This window comes from Homo sapiens, chromosome 12 (assembly GCF_000001405.40).
Source record: "Homo sapiens chromosome 12, GRCh38.p14 Primary Assembly".
Taxonomy (NCBI): domain Eukaryota; kingdom Metazoa; phylum Chordata; class Mammalia; order Primates; family Hominidae; genus Homo; species Homo sapiens.
This window is the reverse complement of record NC_000012.12, coordinates 76,487,110-76,505,478: the sequence shown is the minus strand read 5'-3', so window position 1 is coordinate 76,505,478 and position 18,369 is coordinate 76,487,110. Positions and strand designations below refer to the sequence as shown.

At 39.1% G+C, this 18,369-nt stretch overlaps 1 protein-coding gene across 16 annotated transcripts in view, besides 1 other annotated feature; it reads left to right on the top strand.

The window, feature by feature from the left end:
* Positions 1–18,369, top strand: part of OSBPL8 (oxysterol binding protein like 8) — a 207,975-nt gene that overhangs the window by 54,293 nt on the left and 135,313 nt on the right. For all 16 annotated transcript variants that reach the window (NM_001003712.2, NM_001319653.2, NM_020841.5 and 13 more), the window contains one exon: positions 17,861–17,969. Coding sequence is in view for 13 of the 16 variants with exons in the window: in XM_047428247.1 (XP_047284203.1) it covers positions 17,861–17,969 (109 nt within the window). In the remaining 3 variants the exon portion in view is untranslated. The remainder of the gene's footprint in view (positions 1–17,860; positions 17,970–18,369) is intronic.
* Positions 14,557–15,058: an enhancer, noted in NCBI's record as "H3K27ac hESC enhancer chr12:76884201-76884702 (GRCh37/hg19 assembly coordinates)". NCBI's record gives its function as "activates a minimal SCP1, AML or CMV promoter by ChIP-STARR-seq in primed H9 embryonic stem cells {active_cell/tissue: H9 hESC(primed)}" and the evidence as "EXISTENCE:reporter gene assay evidence [ECO:0000049][PMID:30033119]".

Here is an 18,369-nt window from a genome sequence, read left to right as displayed (position 1 = left end):
ATTATCAGGTCAGGTTCGTCGAGGAAAATAAATTACTACAGGTACTTCAAGCAAAAAGAAAATTAACAAGGGGAATTAGATGGTGATAAATTTATTGGTAAAACTGGAGGCATGGATATGGATAGCTATTCCTAGCTTTCAGGTTAGTCATTGCTGCTGATCATTGTACCTGCCTGTTGGTACTAATATGGGTAGCTGGCAGCGGCGTACTTGGTGATCACTGTAAAGCCTCATGTCTGTCAAAGCTTATTGCCATTGTAATTGCCCAATGGGTTCTTCTTGCCAGCTGCCCAGATGAACCCAATTTATCAACACAGGGAAATTGCAAAAGAGAAAGAATTTAATATACATAGAGCTGGTTAAATGAGAGACTGGAGTTGTATTAGTACTCAGATCAGCCTCCTCTATTGGAGGCTAGGGTTTTTCAAGAATAGTTTGGTGGGCAGGATGCTAGGGAATGGGGAATGCTGTGATTGGTTGGGGAATGCAGTCATGGGGTGTGGGAAAATAGTCCTCATGTGCTGAGTCCACGCCTGGGTGAGAGCCACGAAGGAGATCCAGGTGAGGCCATCCAGTCACCAGAAATGCAGAAGCCTGAAAAGACATCTCAAAAAGCCAATCTTAGGTTCTATAATAATAATGTTATTTCAGGAGTAATTGAGGAAGTTGCAAATCTTGTGACCTCTGGAACAGTAGCTGGCATCATATAAGAATTCAGCCACTTATACTCCTAACCTTGTGACTTTTCATTAGTTTTACAAAGGCAGTTTACTTTTGGAAAGGGCTATCATAATTTAAACTATAAATTTCTCCCAAAGTTATCTTGGCCCATGCCCAGGAATGACCAAGGGCAGTTTGGAGGCTAAAGGCAAGATGGAGTTGGTTAGGTCGAATCCCTTTCATTGTCATAATTTTCTCACTGTTAAAATTTTTGCACAGCCAGTTTCACCATCAGAAGAAGAGTGGTCTGGTTTATGTCTCTCTTCCACCTTCCAAATACTGTGGAAATGCATTGCATTGGCTGAATGTAAGTCACATCTATAATCCCCAAGGCAAAGACATTTGCAAAATGTAGTTTCCGTGCTTTTAGCTTCTATGATACAGAGGAGAGCACAGAATGAATGATAAAATAAATTTATTTATACCTATATTGATAAGATATGAATATATACATATATATTGGATTAGTCAGGGTACTCTAGAAAAACAGTACCAACAGTATGTGGGGACACACACACATACACACACAAAATGGGGACTAGCAAGTATGAAATTTGCAGGGTAGGTCAACAGGCTGGAAACCCACCAAATTGCTGATGTTGCAGTCTTGAGTCTGAAGGCAGTCTGGAGGCAGAATTTCTTTTTAGGACCTCAGGTTTTTTTTTTTTTTTTGGCCTTTAAGTGGTTGGATGAGATCCACCCACATATTGAGGGTAACCTGCTTTACTCAAAGTCTACTGATCTAAATGTTAAACACATCTAAAAAAAAAAGTCTTCACAGCAACATCTATACTGATGTTTAACCAAACAACTGAGTCTCATAGCTTAGCCAAATTGACACATAAAATGAACCATTATAGTCTATGCCTTGTTACATTGGCACCCACCATATCTCTTTAAAAACATACTTGTTATAGGCCAGGCGCGGTGGCTTATGCCTGTAATCCCAGCAGTTTGGGAGGCCGAGGCAGGTGGATCACGAGGTCAGGAGATCGAAACCATCCTAGCTAGCACGGTGAAACCCAGTCTCTACTAAAAATACAAAAAAAAAAATTAGCCGGGCATGGTGGCGGGCACCTGTAGTCCCAGCTACTCGGGAGGCTGAGGCAGGAGGATGGCGTGAACCCAGGAGGCGGAGCTTGCAGTGAGCCGAGATCGCGCCACTGCACTCCAGCCTGGGTGGCAGAAGCGAGACTCCGTCTCAAAAATAAAAAAAAACATACTTGTTATAAGCTGAATTGTATCCCATTAAAATGCATATTGAAGTTTGAACTTCCAGCACCTCAGAATGTGACAGTATTTGGAGACAGGGTCTTTAATGAGATAGTTAAGTTAAAATGAGGTCACTAGGGTGGACCCGAATTCAGTATGACAGGTCTCCTTATAAGAAGAGGAAATTTGGATACAGACACGTACAGAGGGAAGACCATGTGAAATCTCTGGGAGAAAATGGCCATCTCAAGCTAAGGAGAAAGGTCTCTGAAGAAACTAAACCTGCTGAAACCTTGATCTTGGACATCTAGCCTCCAGACCTATGAGGAAATAATGTTCTGTTGTTTAAGCTACCCCCAGTTTGTCGTATTTTATTATGGCAACGCTAGAAAATTAATACAATAGTTAATCTCCAAACAAAGACAATAACAAAGTCATGCTTCCACCCAACGGTACAACTGTCTTGCGTAAAATGTACTTTTTCCCCAAAGAGAATGTAAAGTCCTTGGGTGATGTTCATTTTTCTTGTTATTCTGTAACTGAAATACTGTAATGTAGAGTTAACAATACTTAAATGCTATGAAATAAAGTCATTATATCTTATATGATAAAGCAATAAGAGAGGAAAGAAAACAAAGATATTTGATACACAACTGTATTCATAAAACAATAAGGAAGTAATAATCCCAGAAATTACAATTTTTGTCTCTGTAACTGATCACGTAATTGTAGCAGGTATTTATAACTACCTTCTTCCACTATCCCTTCTGTATTCATTTACCCTCAGCAAGTACCTCAACTGGTCATGGCTTTTGACCTGGTAGGATGACCCAAAGTTTCATTCCTGAAGAGTCTAGGCGATTACTAGTCCTGTCTAGATTGGATTGTTGTGATTTTCTGTTGACTTTAATCACCGAACATGCAGTACTAAAAGATATCCCATCATATTATCCCATCGTATCTGAAATATCCCATCGTATCTGAAATAGCTCCTGTATTTCAGACATACTTTCCCATACCTCTATTGTAGAGTAGCAGTCCAGTTTCTCCATGGTAATTAGGATCGCTCACCTCAGCCAGCCTAGTAAACCCCCTTCTTTGCCTGCTGATTCAGAGGCATGGGGACCTTCAAGTGGCCAAATGGCAGTCTTAACTTCGAGTTCAGTGGAATCATTGCTGTGTCTCCTGGTGAAGGCATTCCTCTCTTTGGATTAAGACCTCCAGACTGGCAAAGCGTAGGGTTATGGGGACAGGATGCAAAAATTGTATTAGTGGATCAATAGGGGTAATAGTGGATGATGTCACTTCCATTCCTCCCTCTCATTCTCAGAGCCATGCACCTTGGCTATAGGAGAAAATGCACTGTATGTTGCATATTGACCCAGAGCATATACAGCCTTCTGGCGATCCATGTATGAATTGCTCCATAGCTGATGCTACAATTGAGTTTTCAAAATGCCACCCCACTGTTCTGTCAAACCAGTTACTTCATGATGTTGGGGAACATGGTAAGGCCAGTGGATTCCCTGAGCATGGATTCATTGCTGTACTACATTTGCTGTGAAATGAGTTTCTTCTTCCAAAGCAATGCTGTATGTATTACTATTATGGTAGATGAGGCACTCTAAGTCTATGGATGTTAGTTCAGGCAGAAGCATTGCATGGAGGGAAGAGAAATTTATTCAAGTAGGAACAAAATGCTGCCCCTTCGTGATGGAAGCAGCTCAACGTAATCTACCTGCCACTGGGCAACTAGCTAATGACCCTCCACAGTGATGCTGTATTGAGGACTTGGTGTTGATCTCTACCGCTGGTCAGTTGGGCACTCAGCGGTGGCTCTAGCCAGGTCAGCTTTGGTGAGTGGAAGTCCATGTTGCTGAGCCATGCATAACCTCCATCCCTGTCACCATGGCTACTTTGTTCATGAGCCCACTGTGGAATGACAGCAGTGGCTGGAGAAAGAGGCTGACTAGTATCACAGAATGGGCTCTCCTATTTCCTTGATCATTAAAATACCTCTCTGCTAAGATCACCTGTTGGTGAGCATTCACATGGGACACAAATATCTTCACTATAAAGGCCCAGATAGTAAATATTTCAGGCTTTGTGGACTACATATTGTCTCTGTTACATATTCTCCTTTTCTTCTCTCCCCTCTCCCTTCTATTTTCCTTCTTCTTTATAGCCCTTTAAAAACATAAAAACCATTCTTACATTGTGTGCTATAGTTTGCTGACCCCCAGCTTACATGTTAAAAAATGCAAGATTCATTTAAGTGAAAATTGTATTGGGAAGGAATCCACATTTCCAGATAATGAGGGTTGAGGAAGGCACTGCATTTATTTTAATTATAAATTGGGATTTAAATCTAAGAAAACATGAATAAAGCACCCAAAGGTATTATAAAAACACACACTTATGTATATGTGTCTATGTGTGTGTGTGTGTGTGTAAAGATACACACACATACAATTACTCAATAAATAATTACAAATCACCTAATATTTTATAAGTTTATTAACCAAAGTTACTGGCACAAACTCAGATGCCTACTAGGACCTGGCAGATAAAAGGGCATTTTTGAAGTGGTTAAGTACACAGTAGTAACTGAACTGCTTATATGTCAGTAAATTCAAACGTTAGCAGAATGACTTTGCCAGACTTTGTGAGGACTGAGTAAAACATGGTTCCAAACATATATGTGGCCCCTGGGTAATCAGTTTTTATGATCACCTGTAAAAGCAGAGGCTTGTTTCTAACATCTATACTTTTAAGAAATTCTTTTTTTCTCTTACCCTGGTCATAAGAAAAAAGAAAAAAAAGAAAAAAGAAGGAAAATCTTTAAATTCTTCAGCATGTAGTCCTTGAAGGAAGATTTGTACTTTAAAACTGATGGGCTCCACTCATTCAGGGCAAGAAACTATAAAAGTATTGGGGAAAGTATAAAATGAATATGTTGTAATCCATTATTGTTAAAAATATAATCTTATAGGGAAGATAGGAACATATGCAATTTTAACAAATTTATATAAACAAATTTTAAAAACTTAAATAGTATTAAGTGATATATGAACTTTGGAAGTTCAAGAATCAAGAGAATACTTCTAGTTAGGGGAAATCAAGGAAGCCTTCGTGAAGAAGGTAATATATGACTTGGACTTCACTGGGTGGGTTGGGTTTGGTTTTGCAAGAGAAATATTTTCTAGAAGGAAGAATGCAGGCAAAGGCATGGAAATATGAAGTCATAAGAATAGGATCTATGAAGGCACTGGTGTATATGCAGAATAGCAAATAACTCAATTTGGCTGACACAAAGGGTCAGAGAAAGCAAGCAATAACTGAGAAAGGCAAGTATAAGCAAAATAATTGTTACCCTCCAATGCCAAGGCAAGATTTGGACTTAAATCTTTAATAAGCACAGCTGAAGTTTTTGATATTAAGTCGACATGATCACTTCTGTGCATTAGATTATAAAACTAGGTATAAAACTGATATAATATGTAGGCGTGAAGGCAGGGGCAAAGATAGAGGAAATGAATGCTTGAACACTCTTAAGAAATCTTCCAGGGCAGGTAAAGGATCATTGGAGGGTAGCTTTGAGGCAACTAGAACAGAAAAGGGCCTTATTGAGAGTAAGGGAAACTTGAGCATTATGGGCAATGGAAGGACTAACAGGACAAATTTTTTTTTTTTTGAGATGGAGTCTCGCTTTGCCACCCAGGCTGGAGTGCAGTGGTGTGATTTCTGCCTGCTGCAACCTCCGCTCCCGGGTCCAAGTGATTCTCCTACTTCAGCCTCCCGAGTAGCTGGGATTACAGCAGGGATTAGCCACCATGCCCGGCTAATTTTTGTATTTTTAGTAGAGACGAGGTTTCAACATTTTGGCCAGGCTGGTCTCAAACTCCTGACCTCTGGTGATCTGCCCACCTCAGCCTCCTGAAGTGCTGGGATTACAGGCATGAGCTACTGTACCTGGCTGACAAATTGATATTGAAGTAAAGGCTTTTACTGGGCTGGGCACTTTGGTTCATGCCTGTAATCCCAGCTCTTTGGGAGGTCGAGGTGGAAGGATCGCTTGATCGCTTGAGCCTAGGGATTCAAGACCAGCCTGGGCAACATGGCTGTATTAGGGTTCTCTAGAGGGACAGAACTAATAGGATATAGATAGATTAGATAGATTAGATAGATAGATAGATGATAGATAGATAGATAGATAGATAGATAGATAGATAGATAGATAGAGTTTATTAAGTATTAACTTACATGATCACAAGGTCCCACAACAGGCTGTCTGCAGGCTGAGGAGCAAGGATAGCCAGCCTGAGTCTCAAAACTGAAGAACTTGGGAGTCCAATGTTTGAGGGCAGGAAGCATCCAGCACTGGAGAAAGACGTAGGTTGGGAGGCTAGGCCAGTCTCCCCTTTCACGTTTTCCTGCCTGCCTTATATTCGATGGTGGATGATTAGATTATGCCCACCAGATTAAGGGTGGGTCTGCCTTTCCCAGTCCACTGACTGAAATGTTAATCTCCTTTGGCAACACCCTCACAGAAACACCCAGGATCAGTACTTTGCATCCTTCAATCCAATCAAGTTGACACTCAGTGTTAACCATCCCAATGGTGAAACTTCATCTTTATAAAAGACAAAAAACAATAAACGTAGCTGGGCATGGTGGTGTGTGCCTGTAGTCCCAGCTAGTCTGGAGGTTGAGGTGAGATGATCACCTGAGCCTGGGAGGTCAAGGCTGCAGGGAGATGTGATGGCACCACTGCACTCCATTCTGGGTGACCCTGTCTCAAAAAAAAAAAAAAAAAAAAAAGTGGGGAGGCTTTTATTACCACTAAGTGCCAGAGGGATTAGCTCAAAAGCATAGATAGAAAACTTAGTCACAGAAAGGATGGTACCTGATAGAGAAGAAATTCAAATGAGAGCTTATAAAATGTCTGCGTTCAAAGCATTTGAACATTTCTTTGTTTTAAAAAGGATTCTTGTATAGATACTTTAAATCAGTTGTCAGGACTCAAATACTTACACAACCTGGACAGGTAGCAAAAATGAGTGAAACAGTGAAAGTACAGATGCAAACATGGTGTGAGAGGTGCGTGCTTGCACCTTGTAAAGTGGATGGCTGCTACTCAGCTCTAATCAGTCATTGCTTAAGTGTTGCATCCATAGTTTCAAGACAAACCCTAAATTAATACTGTTATGTACAGTTTTTGATTTTTTAAAATATTGGCTAGAAAAAGGACCAGAATCAGGAATCAGAGCCAGTTTCCTGACATTGTGTGACCTCTTCTTTATATACGTAGACAGGGTTTCGCCATGTTGGCCAGGCTGGTCTCGAACTTATGACCTCAGGTGATCCGCCCGCCTGGGCCTCCCAAAGTGCTAGGGTTACAGGTGTGAGCCACTGTGCCCAGCCCAAATACTGATTTTTAAAAAATCATTTGCCTGAGAAATATCTATATGCCATTCATTGACTAACAAACATTTATTGGGCATTTATCACATGCTAGTCACTGAAAATGCATCCATATCCTTAAAATGGAATGATAAGGAAAATGTTCACACAAAAACAGTTGCTTTGTGTTGAAAAGTGTTGAAAGTGTTCAACAAAAACAATCTATATAAATTCATGTGTTCCTTAGTTAATATTTTTGATATAAAAATGCCCAATCCTAACACACTACTGCTTGTACAAGTTATGGAGAGAAGTGTTATATAAGAGTCTCTTCTGTTATTAGAGAATCAAAAGAAACTCCTGTCTTAGCTATACTTCTTTTGCCTCATGTTACAAAGGTACAGTAAAAAAGGACCTTATGCACTTAAGCCCTTACATAAGCTGCCTAGGCTTTAAGGGCACCAAAACTCAGAAAAAAGTTGTTTGGACAGAAGTATAAAAACCACGTAGAGAAGAATTCAGAAGAAGCTAATATTAAAACATACAGGGAACATACTGCTTCAGAAAGTGATAAAGTTAGTAGTGAGACACATGCTGAGCAAAGAAGCTACTTTTAGGGTTTAGGTGTAGGTCTAAGTGGAGCTAAACAAAGGAGAAAAACTGTGAGGGCAAGATTTGGGGTCACCAGGAAAGATTCCTTTATTATGCATACAATTGTGCTATTTACACGCGATGTTAACCTGAAACACTACACCAGGAATCACCAAAGTATGCTCTACTCCTATTTTTGTAAATACAGTTTATCAGACTCATTTTGTTTATTCATTTTTCTATGGTTGCTTTCATGCTACAACATCAGAACTAAGTAGTTGCAATAGAAATCCTATCATCTGCAAAGTCGAAAGTAAAATCTGTTTGCTGTGTGGCCCTTTACAAAAAAAAAAAAAAAATTTGCTGATTCCTAAGCTATACAGATACACTGCAATATCTATCTCCCTTTAGTTAAAAAAATTTTGATAAAAATATTTCCTTACTTAGTTCATGTATTGTGGAATGTGGGAACACATCACTGAAATGTACATAACCGAGTCTCTTTTATCAGGTACAAACACTTAAGGGTATTAAAGCCTCAGTATTCATACTGTCTGTTAAAAATGAAGGATGGGGCCAGGCGTGGTGGCTCATGTCTGTAATCCCAGCACTTTGGGAGGCTGAAGTGAGAGGATTGAGGCCAGGAGTTCAAGACCAGCCTGAGCAACAGAGTGACACCACATCTCTACACAAGTTAAAAATATTAGCCAAGGCCACGCACGGTGGCTCACACCTGTAATCCTAATACTTTGGGAGGTTGAGGCGGGTGGATCACCTGAGGTCAGGAGTTCGAGGCCAGCCTGGCCAACATGGTGAAACCCCATCTCTACTAAAAATACAAAATATTAGCTGGGCGTGGTGGCAGGTTCCTGTAATCCCAGCTACTTGGGAGGCTGAGGCAGGAGAATCACTTGAACCTGGAAAGCGGAGGTTGCAGTGAGCTGAGATCCTGCCATTGCACTCCAGCCTGGGCAACAAGAGCGAAACTCTGTCTCAAAAAAAAAAAAATGTATTAGCCAGGTCTGGTGGTGCATGCCTGCTGTGGTCTCAGCTATTCAGGAGGCTGGGGTGAGAAGATTGCTTGCACCCAGGTGGTTGAGGTTGTAGTGAGCTGTGATTGTGCCACTGCACTCTAGCCTGGGCAACAGCATAACCAAGACACTGTCAAAAAAAAAAAAAAAATTACACAGCATTTATTCATCAACATGTTAGACAACTCAGGATCACCAGATACTTGAGGAAAACCAACAGCACAGAAGGGGAAGGGTCAAGAAGAAGTAACAAATGACTTCAGAGGAAACAGAGAGGATTCCCTGGACGGAAGAACACCAAACAGCAGAGCACTTAAATTCCTGTGTAGTTAGAAAGATTCAAAAAAAAAAATACTACAGACATGAAACAAGAAGAGACTAATGTGTAATTGGGGAATAAGAATGTGTCGTTAAAAAAAGACGAAAGTTAAAAGTCAGTGGATGGGCTAAGGAATAAAATGGGCCAAAGATGGTAAATTGGTAGAATGTGCAAGTAAGGTGATCTGGGAAATAAAGTTGATAAGATACTTCAGGAAGTACACAAAAATAAATGGAATGTTAAATATCACATTGAAATCAAGAAACATGGAGCTCCAACATTTTTCTAATACAAATTTTAGCAAGAAAGAACAGAGACTAGAAAGGAAGAAATGGTTAACAAAAAAAGCAGAAGAAACTTCCCTGAACTGGAGAAGGATAGGTCTTCAGACTGAAAAGAACTCTTTTAGAGCCAACAGGATTAATCAAGATGAACCTTGCCTAGACAGATCCTTGTGTGATGTCATAACTAAATTATTGGACATTTTAATGGTGATGGAAGAGTAATATGTAAATCATTCAGTGGTTTTTCTTCTTGTTTAACTGTGTAGAGTAGGTGTCATTGTCGTTTGCCTTTTATGAATGATTTTTCCAAGGTCTGGAGAATAGAGACATAGTATCAGACTTGCATAATATTTTGGTATTCTTGTTTGGTTATAGTTCTGTATTTTAAAATGCCAGTCATTTGGCAGCAGCAGACTTCAGTACTATGCAGTTTCCCCCAAACACTTTGGACTAGTCTGAACTACCACAGTACATTGTCCAAATGTGTTATATAGCTCTTGTATAGTAATTTATTTGCTAGACCTCTTTTATTGGACTGAATTCCTTTGGGAGGCATTTAGTAAAAATGTGTCAAATGATGCTGCGCTATTATATTGTTTACTGACCATGTTCTTCCTAATGTTGCTGAATTTGTATATTTTGTTAATGTCTTTTGCATATAACATACAGCTTACAGGAACTGGAAGATAACTGGTTTATAGAAAATCCAAGGAAATAGCTAGAATATTGAGGCAGGTAATACTAGTAATGACCTTTTTATTTTAATTAGTGGACCCAAAATGAAATTAAATACGTTCTCGTTATCTGCTCTGCAGATGTCTTACCAGCCAACAGTTTGGAATAGAGAGAAGGCAGCTCTGTTGAGGCAGGTAACACTGGTAATGAGCTTTTTATTTTTAATTTAATTAGTGGCCCCGAAGCTTAAGAAGTAGACTCATAAGCCTAAGAAGTTCTGAAATCCATCCTTTGGTATCTACTCCCTGGTGGTCTGATTCAGTCTCATGGATTTAAATGCCATCAATATGTTAACTCCCCAAATTTTATCTCCAGCTCAGATCTCTTTTTTGAGCTGCAAACTCTTACATCCAACTGCCTGCTTAACAGGCCCACACGAATATGAAATAGACATATCAAACTTAATATTCCTAAAACTAAACTTCTAATTTTTGGTTATCCTCTGCCCTGCTTTCCCAAAGAAGATAACCTTACTCCTCCTGCTGTCTTTCCCATCTCATTTAATGATCACCATCCTTCTAGTCATTTGAGCCAGAAATCTAGGTCATCTTGTATCTTTTCTCATCCTCACGCCATATTCAGTTTTTCAGGAAATCCTGTTGCTTCTACCTTCAAAATTCATGTAGAATTCTGCTTCTTCTCAGTATTTTTATAGCTCTCTTCTTCATTCTTGTATCATATTCTCTCTTCTAGATTAATGCAGTAACCTTTTAACTGAATTCCCAGTTTCTACCCTTCTCTCACTATAATTGTCAATACAGAGAAACTAAAAATCTCAGATCATGTTGTTCCTTGCTCAGAACCCTCCAGTGGGTTCTCATATCACTTAGAGTAAAAGACTCCCACCCAGTCAGTGCCCTAGAATGTAGCCATAGGGTAGGGCCTTTTCCTACCAAAACCACTATAAAGTCTGAAAGAGATGATTACTCCATACAATGAACAAACCTTAACATAATGCAATAAGAAACATGAAAAAGCAAGAAAACATAACACCACCAAAGGAATGCAATAATTTTCCAATAATCAACCCTCCCCAAATGGAGATTTATGAATTGCCTGTCAAAGAAAAATCAAAATAATTATTTTAAGGAAGCTCAGTGAACTACAGGAGAACACAGACAACTCAATGAAATCAGAAAAACAATACAAACAAAACTAGAAGTTTAACAGAGAGGTTGGAATAATTAAAAAGAACAGCGCAATAGAGACTGTTAACAGCAGAACTGATCAAGCATAAGAAAGAACTGGTAAACTCAAACACTGGATATTTGGAAATATTTGATCAGAAAAGAAAAAGAATGAAAAGGAGTGAAAAGCCTACAGATTTAGGGACATCATCAAAAGAGCTAACATTTGTAGAATTCAAGGAGAATAGAGAGAGACAGAAAGCTTATTTAAAGATTTAATGTCTGAAAACTTCTCTGATCTTGGAAAAGAGAGAAACACCCAGGCATGGGAATCTCAAAGGTCTCCAACTAGATTCAACCCAAAGAAGACATATCTAATCAAATTGTCAAAAGTCAAAGAGAATTTTAAAAGCAGCAAGATAAAAAAAGGATCCTCACATGCAAGGGAGCTCCTTTAGCCTATCAGTGAATTTGTCAGCAGAAACTTTGCAGGTCTAGAGAGAATAGAATAATATATTTATTTAAAGTGCTGAAAGAAAAAAATTGTAAACCAAGAATACTTTATCTGACAAAACTGTTCTTCAGAAATTAGGGAGGCGTGAAGACTTTCCCAGAAAAGAAAAGCAGAGGGAGTTAACCACCAGTAAACCTGCCTTACAAAAAAATGAAAGAGAATTCTTCAAACTGAAATGAAAGGGTGCTAATTAGTAACATGAAAACATGTAAATTATAAAACTCACCAGTAAAACGCTGTCATTGAGGATACTTGTAGAGCTCTTCTTGGTCTGTGAAGCAAATTTTGATTGGTTTGGAGCTTTGGTGTAAAGCTTACACACACATTATGTTATTGGGGTCCTCTCAACAATCCTGTGAAGTATGTAGAGCATATAATATTCCCTATTTGCAAATGAGAAAACAAAGACTCAGAGAAGGCAATGGACTTGCTCACAGCCATGCTGGTGGAAAATGATAGGGTGGCAGAGTGGAGATTCTACTCCAAATGCACTGTACCAGTGGTTTCCAACTATTTTTGACTGCAACTTAGAGGAAGAAGTGCATTTTAAATTTTGACCCAGAATGTGCACGTGTGTACGTGCACACAATGAAAGCAAAAAAAAAATATCTATATATATCTATATATATCTATATATCCTATAGTATCAGGGACTGGTTTTGTGGCAGACAGGTTTTGCACAGACCAGGAGGGCGGTGATGGTTTCAGGATGATTCAAGCTCATTTACACTTATTGTGTATTCTGTTTAATAATTATACAACTCACCATAATGTAGAATCAGTGGGAGCCCTGGGCTTGTTTTCCTGCAGCTAGATGGTCCATCTTGAGGGTACGGGAGACAGTTACAGACCATCAGGCATTAGATTCTCATAAGGAGCAGATAACCTAGATTCTTCGTGTGCACAGTTCACAATAGTGTTCATGCTCCTATGAGAATCTAATGCTGCCACTGATCTGACAGGCGGAGCTCAGGTGGTAATGCAAATTATGGGGAGTTGCTGTAAATACAGATGAAGCTTCACTCACTCACCCACCTTTCACCTCCTGCTGTGTGGTCCAGGTCCTAACAGGCCACAGACCCGTATCAGTCTGTGGCCCATGCATTGGAAACACCTGGCCCACAGGACCAAATATGATCTACTTATACTTTGTTTCCTTACCTCTGTGGGGAAACATTTTCTGCTTTTCCCTTCGTTCACATATGTTCTAGCTACATTGCTTTCCTCCTATTCCTCAAACTTCTGCCTTAGGACCTTGGCACTGGCAGCTTCTTCTTACCTGCAGACTCTTCCCTCAGATATCTGCATAGCTAATTTTCTCCCTACTTCAAATCATTGCTCACATGTCACCTTTTCAATGACACCTACTATGGCCATCCTATTTAAAATTGTAACCCTTTAATCCCTGGGTAGTCTTAGCCTGTTTTACTTTTTCCTATAGCACTTACTATCTTCTAATATATAATTTATTAATTTATTATTTTTATTGTTTGTCTTCCCCTTCCAGAATATAGGCTCCATGAGGGCAGGGTTTGTTTGCTTTGCAAATTGATGTATTCAAAGTGGTCAGTATAATACCTAGGAATAGATGGATCCCTAAAATTGAATGGATATCATGAAAAAAATCAGTAAAATATTTTTCAAAGTAAAAGCTGCTTATGATATTTTGTTATTTTGTTGTTAATATTGCAAATTTTTAGAATATAATAATGCAGTATTCAAATACAAGTATCAGTGTGCATCCCATAGACATAATTTTTATATCATCTGCTGTTTTGGATTCTTATTTATTCACTTAGATAATTGAGTTGGCAGTATTAGTTAAGTGCAACAACTGTTAATGAAATGTCTACCATGCAAAGCACTGGAAAAACAGATCAGTAAAATAGCCTCTGTCCTTGAAGAGAATTGGCTCATGGGAACAAATAATTACCATATATTATAATACATGTAGTCAAGGAAAGTTTATATAATGTTTCTAAATTGAAAGTCAGAGTAGTCTCTTGGGCTACTCTATTGATTATATCAAAGGAGCCAAATGTCAACCTTACAAAGTCCAATTAAATAATGTTTTCACCAGCCTTTATATTTCAGTAAGGCCTTTTATACTTGTAGAAATAAGAAAATGTTTTTGAAACTCCAAGAAAATGATTAGAAGTCTACTGATTTTATTGGTTTTGGCTTTGTTATCTGTTTGAAGGAATAATTGTTAGAGAGGTTATCCGAGACCTCTGAATATTTATAGTTACTGTGAGAGTTCAGGTTGTAGGTTTTGTTAGTGAAAAAGTCAATCCTCTCGAACCCTGCCGCTGTTTTATCAACTAAATTTATGTAGTATTCTAAATCTTTTTTTCTTTTTGAAGTAGGATATTTCCCTGACCCCTTCATGGAACTCCTGACAGGGGTGCCTCATTTACTCAGCCTGCTACTCTCCACTCCTCATGAGAGGGAGTGAGTGAGTGAACAACGTGGGAAATGGAGTGCATGAGCACTGGAACTGGGTGGCCATTTCAGTGTCAGCAGGATCAAACTCCACTCACTTGGACCTGCTGTGTTCCACCCCTTGCAGGAGGGAGTGTGTAGGTGAGCAGGTGCAGGAGTCAGAGCGAGTGCTTTTGGGCACTGGCAGGAGCGAACTCCGTGCAGGCTCTGCTGCAGCATCCAAGTGGGGTGCCTGTGACTCCTGAAGCCCCAGAGGGCATATTACAGTGCTCTGTTAGCTCTGCTGTCTGTGGGTGGCTTAAGTGTTAACAACAATTCAGTGGGCCCTCTGCCTTTTTGCATGAGATGGCTGCCTTCTGCCAATAAGGGCAAGGGGCCAGTGTGACAGCCTTTTGTATCCACACTTGTGGCTCCCAAGCTCTTGTCCAGTGTCCAGGAAAAAAATGAGGTTACATGAACAAATTGAAAGATGGTAAATGTGGGGGATTTTATTGCCATGAAAGTGGCTCTTAACCAGAAGGGGAGCTGAAAAGGGGATGGGGCAGGTAGGTAATCTTTCCCTGAAGCCCAGCCTTCTCCGACCGGATTCTTCTCTGAAGTTACGCCATCAGGCTCTTTCTGAGGTCAAGCTGCTTCTCTCCAACGTCCAGCCATAGTCCCCGACGTCCAGCAGCTTCTCCTCTCTTCGGGCTGAGTCTGGGGTCTTTATAGGCATAGGATGGGGTTGGGCAGGACAGGTCCATGGGTGGTTTAGGAAAAGGCAACATTCGAGCCGGAAAACAGGGATATAAGTTCTTGTTTTGGTCTGCCGTTTCACGCTTTTCGACTTGAGGGTGGGGCTTTTGCCAGGGACCTGCCGTTTTCTGCCTAGAATTTCTCTGTCCCCTGTCCCTGTCAATTTCAGCAGTGTTCACAGCATCTTTACCAGGAGTAGATTCTATCTTCAGAAACCACTTTCTTTGTTCATCCATAAGAAGTAAGTCCTCATTCATTCAAGTTTTGTCTTGAGATTGCAGCTATTCAGTTACATCTTCAGACTCCACTTCTAATTCTAGTTGTCTTGCTATTTTCGCCACATCAGTAGCAACTTCCTGCACTGAGGTCTTGAAATGCACAAAGTCATCCGTAAGGGTTGGAATCAACTTCTTCCAAATTCCTGCGAATGTTGGTATTTTGACCTCCTCCTGTGACTCACAAGTGTACTTAGTGACATTTAGAATGGTGAATCTTTTCCATTAGGTTTTCAAACTTTGCCCAGATCCATCAGAGGAATCACTATCTCTGGCAGCTTATGGCCTTACTGAATGTATTTCTTAAATAATAAGACATGGAAGTTAAAATTACTCCCTGATTCATGGACTGCAGAATAGATGTTGCGTTAGAGATGAAAACAACATTAATCTTTTTGTACATCTCCACCAGAACTTTTGGGTGACCAAGTGCATTGTCAGTGAGTGGTAATATTTTGAAAGGAATATTGTTTCTTAGCAGTAGTCTCAACAGTGAGCTTAAAATTTTAGTAAACCATGCTGTAAACAGATGTGCTATCATACAGGCTTTGTTGTTTTATTTATAGTGCACAGGCAGAGTAGTTACAGCATAATTCTTGAAAGGGCCCTAGAATTTTTGGAATGGTAAATGAACATTGGCTTCAACTTCAAACCACCAGCTGCATTAGCCCCTAACAAGAGAGTCAGTTTGTCCTTTGCAGCTTTGAAGTCTGGCATTGACTTCTCCTCTCTAGATATGAAAGTCCTTAATGGCATCTTCTAATAGAAGGCTATTTCATCTATATTGAAAACCTGTTGTTTAGTGTAGCCATGTTCATCAATGATCTTAGCTAGATCTTTTGGATAACTTACTGCAGTTTCTCCAAGTAGCACTTGCTACTTCACCTTGCATTTTGATGTTATAGAGATGGCTTCTTTCCTTAAACCTCATGAACCAACCTCTGCTGGCTTGAAACTTCTCTTCTGCAGCTTTCTCACCTCTCTCAGCCTGTATAGAATTGAAGAGAGTTAGGGCCTTGCCTATATAATTAGCCTGATCTTCTATCCAGACCACTCAAACTTGCTGTATATCAGCAATAAGGCTGTTTTGCTTTCTTATTTGTGTGTTCATTGGAATAGGACTTTTAATTTCTTCCAAGAACTTTTACTTTGCATTCACAACATGGCTGTTTGGTGTAAGAGGCCATGCTTCTGGCTTTTGACATGCCTTCCTCACTAAGCTTAATCATTTTTAGCTTTTGATTTAAAGTGAAATATGTGGGTCTTCCTTTTACTTGAACACTTAGAGGCCTTTGTAGTGTTATTAATTGGACTAATTTCAATATTATTGTGACTGATGGAATAGAGAAGAGCCGGGAGAAAGAGAAAATGGGAGAATGGCAGATGGGTGGAACAGTCAAAACCTCCTACATTTATCAGTTCAGTTACTTGTTTTATATGGCTGCAGTTTGTGGTGCCCCAAAATGATTACAATAGTAATATCAAGGATTATTGATCACAGATTGCTGAACAGATACTTTAATGAAAAGGGTTGAAATATTTGAGAGTTACCAAACTATGACACAGAGACACAAAGTGAGCACATGCTGTTGGAAAAGTACCGATAGACTTACTTGCTGCAAGGCTGTCACCAACCTTCATTTTGTAAAAAAGGCAGTATCTCTTTGTGCAGTAAAGCGAAACACAATAAAACAAGGCATGCCTGTAGATATACATATTCATGGTAAAAATGGAAATATACAGAAGCAAAGAGTATCTTATATATATAAAATGTTCCATCACTCACATTTCCCACCTTATGTGTTGTGATCCTCTTTCCAGTTTAGTATATATAGATCTACTTCATTTTTTAAAATTGCTGCATGATATTCTATTGTATGTCTGTAATATAATTTAAGGAAGCTTCTAGCCATCAACATTTAAGTTGTTTCTAGTTTTTTTCATCAGATTTATTACTGTGTTGGAATTGTTTATATATTTCTGGGCATTTGTATATCTGTGGGAAAATTTCTAGTCTTGAAATTGCTGGATTAAAACATACATATTTTTAATTGTCCTTCAAAAAATTGTCCTGATTTATATTCTCATAACAAAAGTACATGAGAATATCTGTTTCCCCACATTCTCTCCCATGATGGATTTTAGCATACTTTTTAGTTTTTACCAATGTAATAATGAAAAACTAATTTATTTCATTAGTTGTAAGTAGATTTATGCATCCTTTCAAATTTTAGGCAGTCTCATGTTTAACCTTGCTCTTACTATTTTTCTTCACTTGGAATATTTTTTTCTTCTTTCATTTTTCTCTGAACCTTTACCATTCTTCAAGCCCATGTCAATTTTTTTTTTAATTATTGAATTTCCAAATAACCTCAGACTAAAATGATTTTTCCCTTCTAACAAACTCAATGCTTTATTTCTACTTGTCACAGTTTTATACCAGTCCTAATAAATATCATTTTCTTATTTTAGGATTTGCAGATTTACAGAATGGCTGCACATTAATGGAAAGAGAAGCATAAACCTATCTTCTTTCATTATGGAGGGAGGTTTGGCAGATGGAGAACCTGATCGAACTTCGGTGAGTAGTTCATATATGACATAGGTTCTATCATCTGTAACTGTGAAGTGTTTGATGTAAGCTAGGGTTTTGTTTTTAAAATATATTAACAACAAACTTTTAAAAAGTATTTTTAAAATAATGCTTTAACTCCTTGAGAATTACAGATACTTTAAATGATATGAAAATTACAGATAGCTAGCTAGGCATGGTGGCTCACACCTGTAATCCTAGAACTTTGGGAGGCCGAGATGGGTGGATTACCTGAGCTCAGGAGTTCAAGACCAGCCTGGGCAACAATGGCGAAACCCTGTCTCTATTAAAAATACAAAAATTAGCCAGGTGTGGTGGCACATGCCTGTAGTCCCAGTTACTTGGGAGGCTGAGGCACGAGAATTGCTTGAACTTGGGAGGTGGAGGT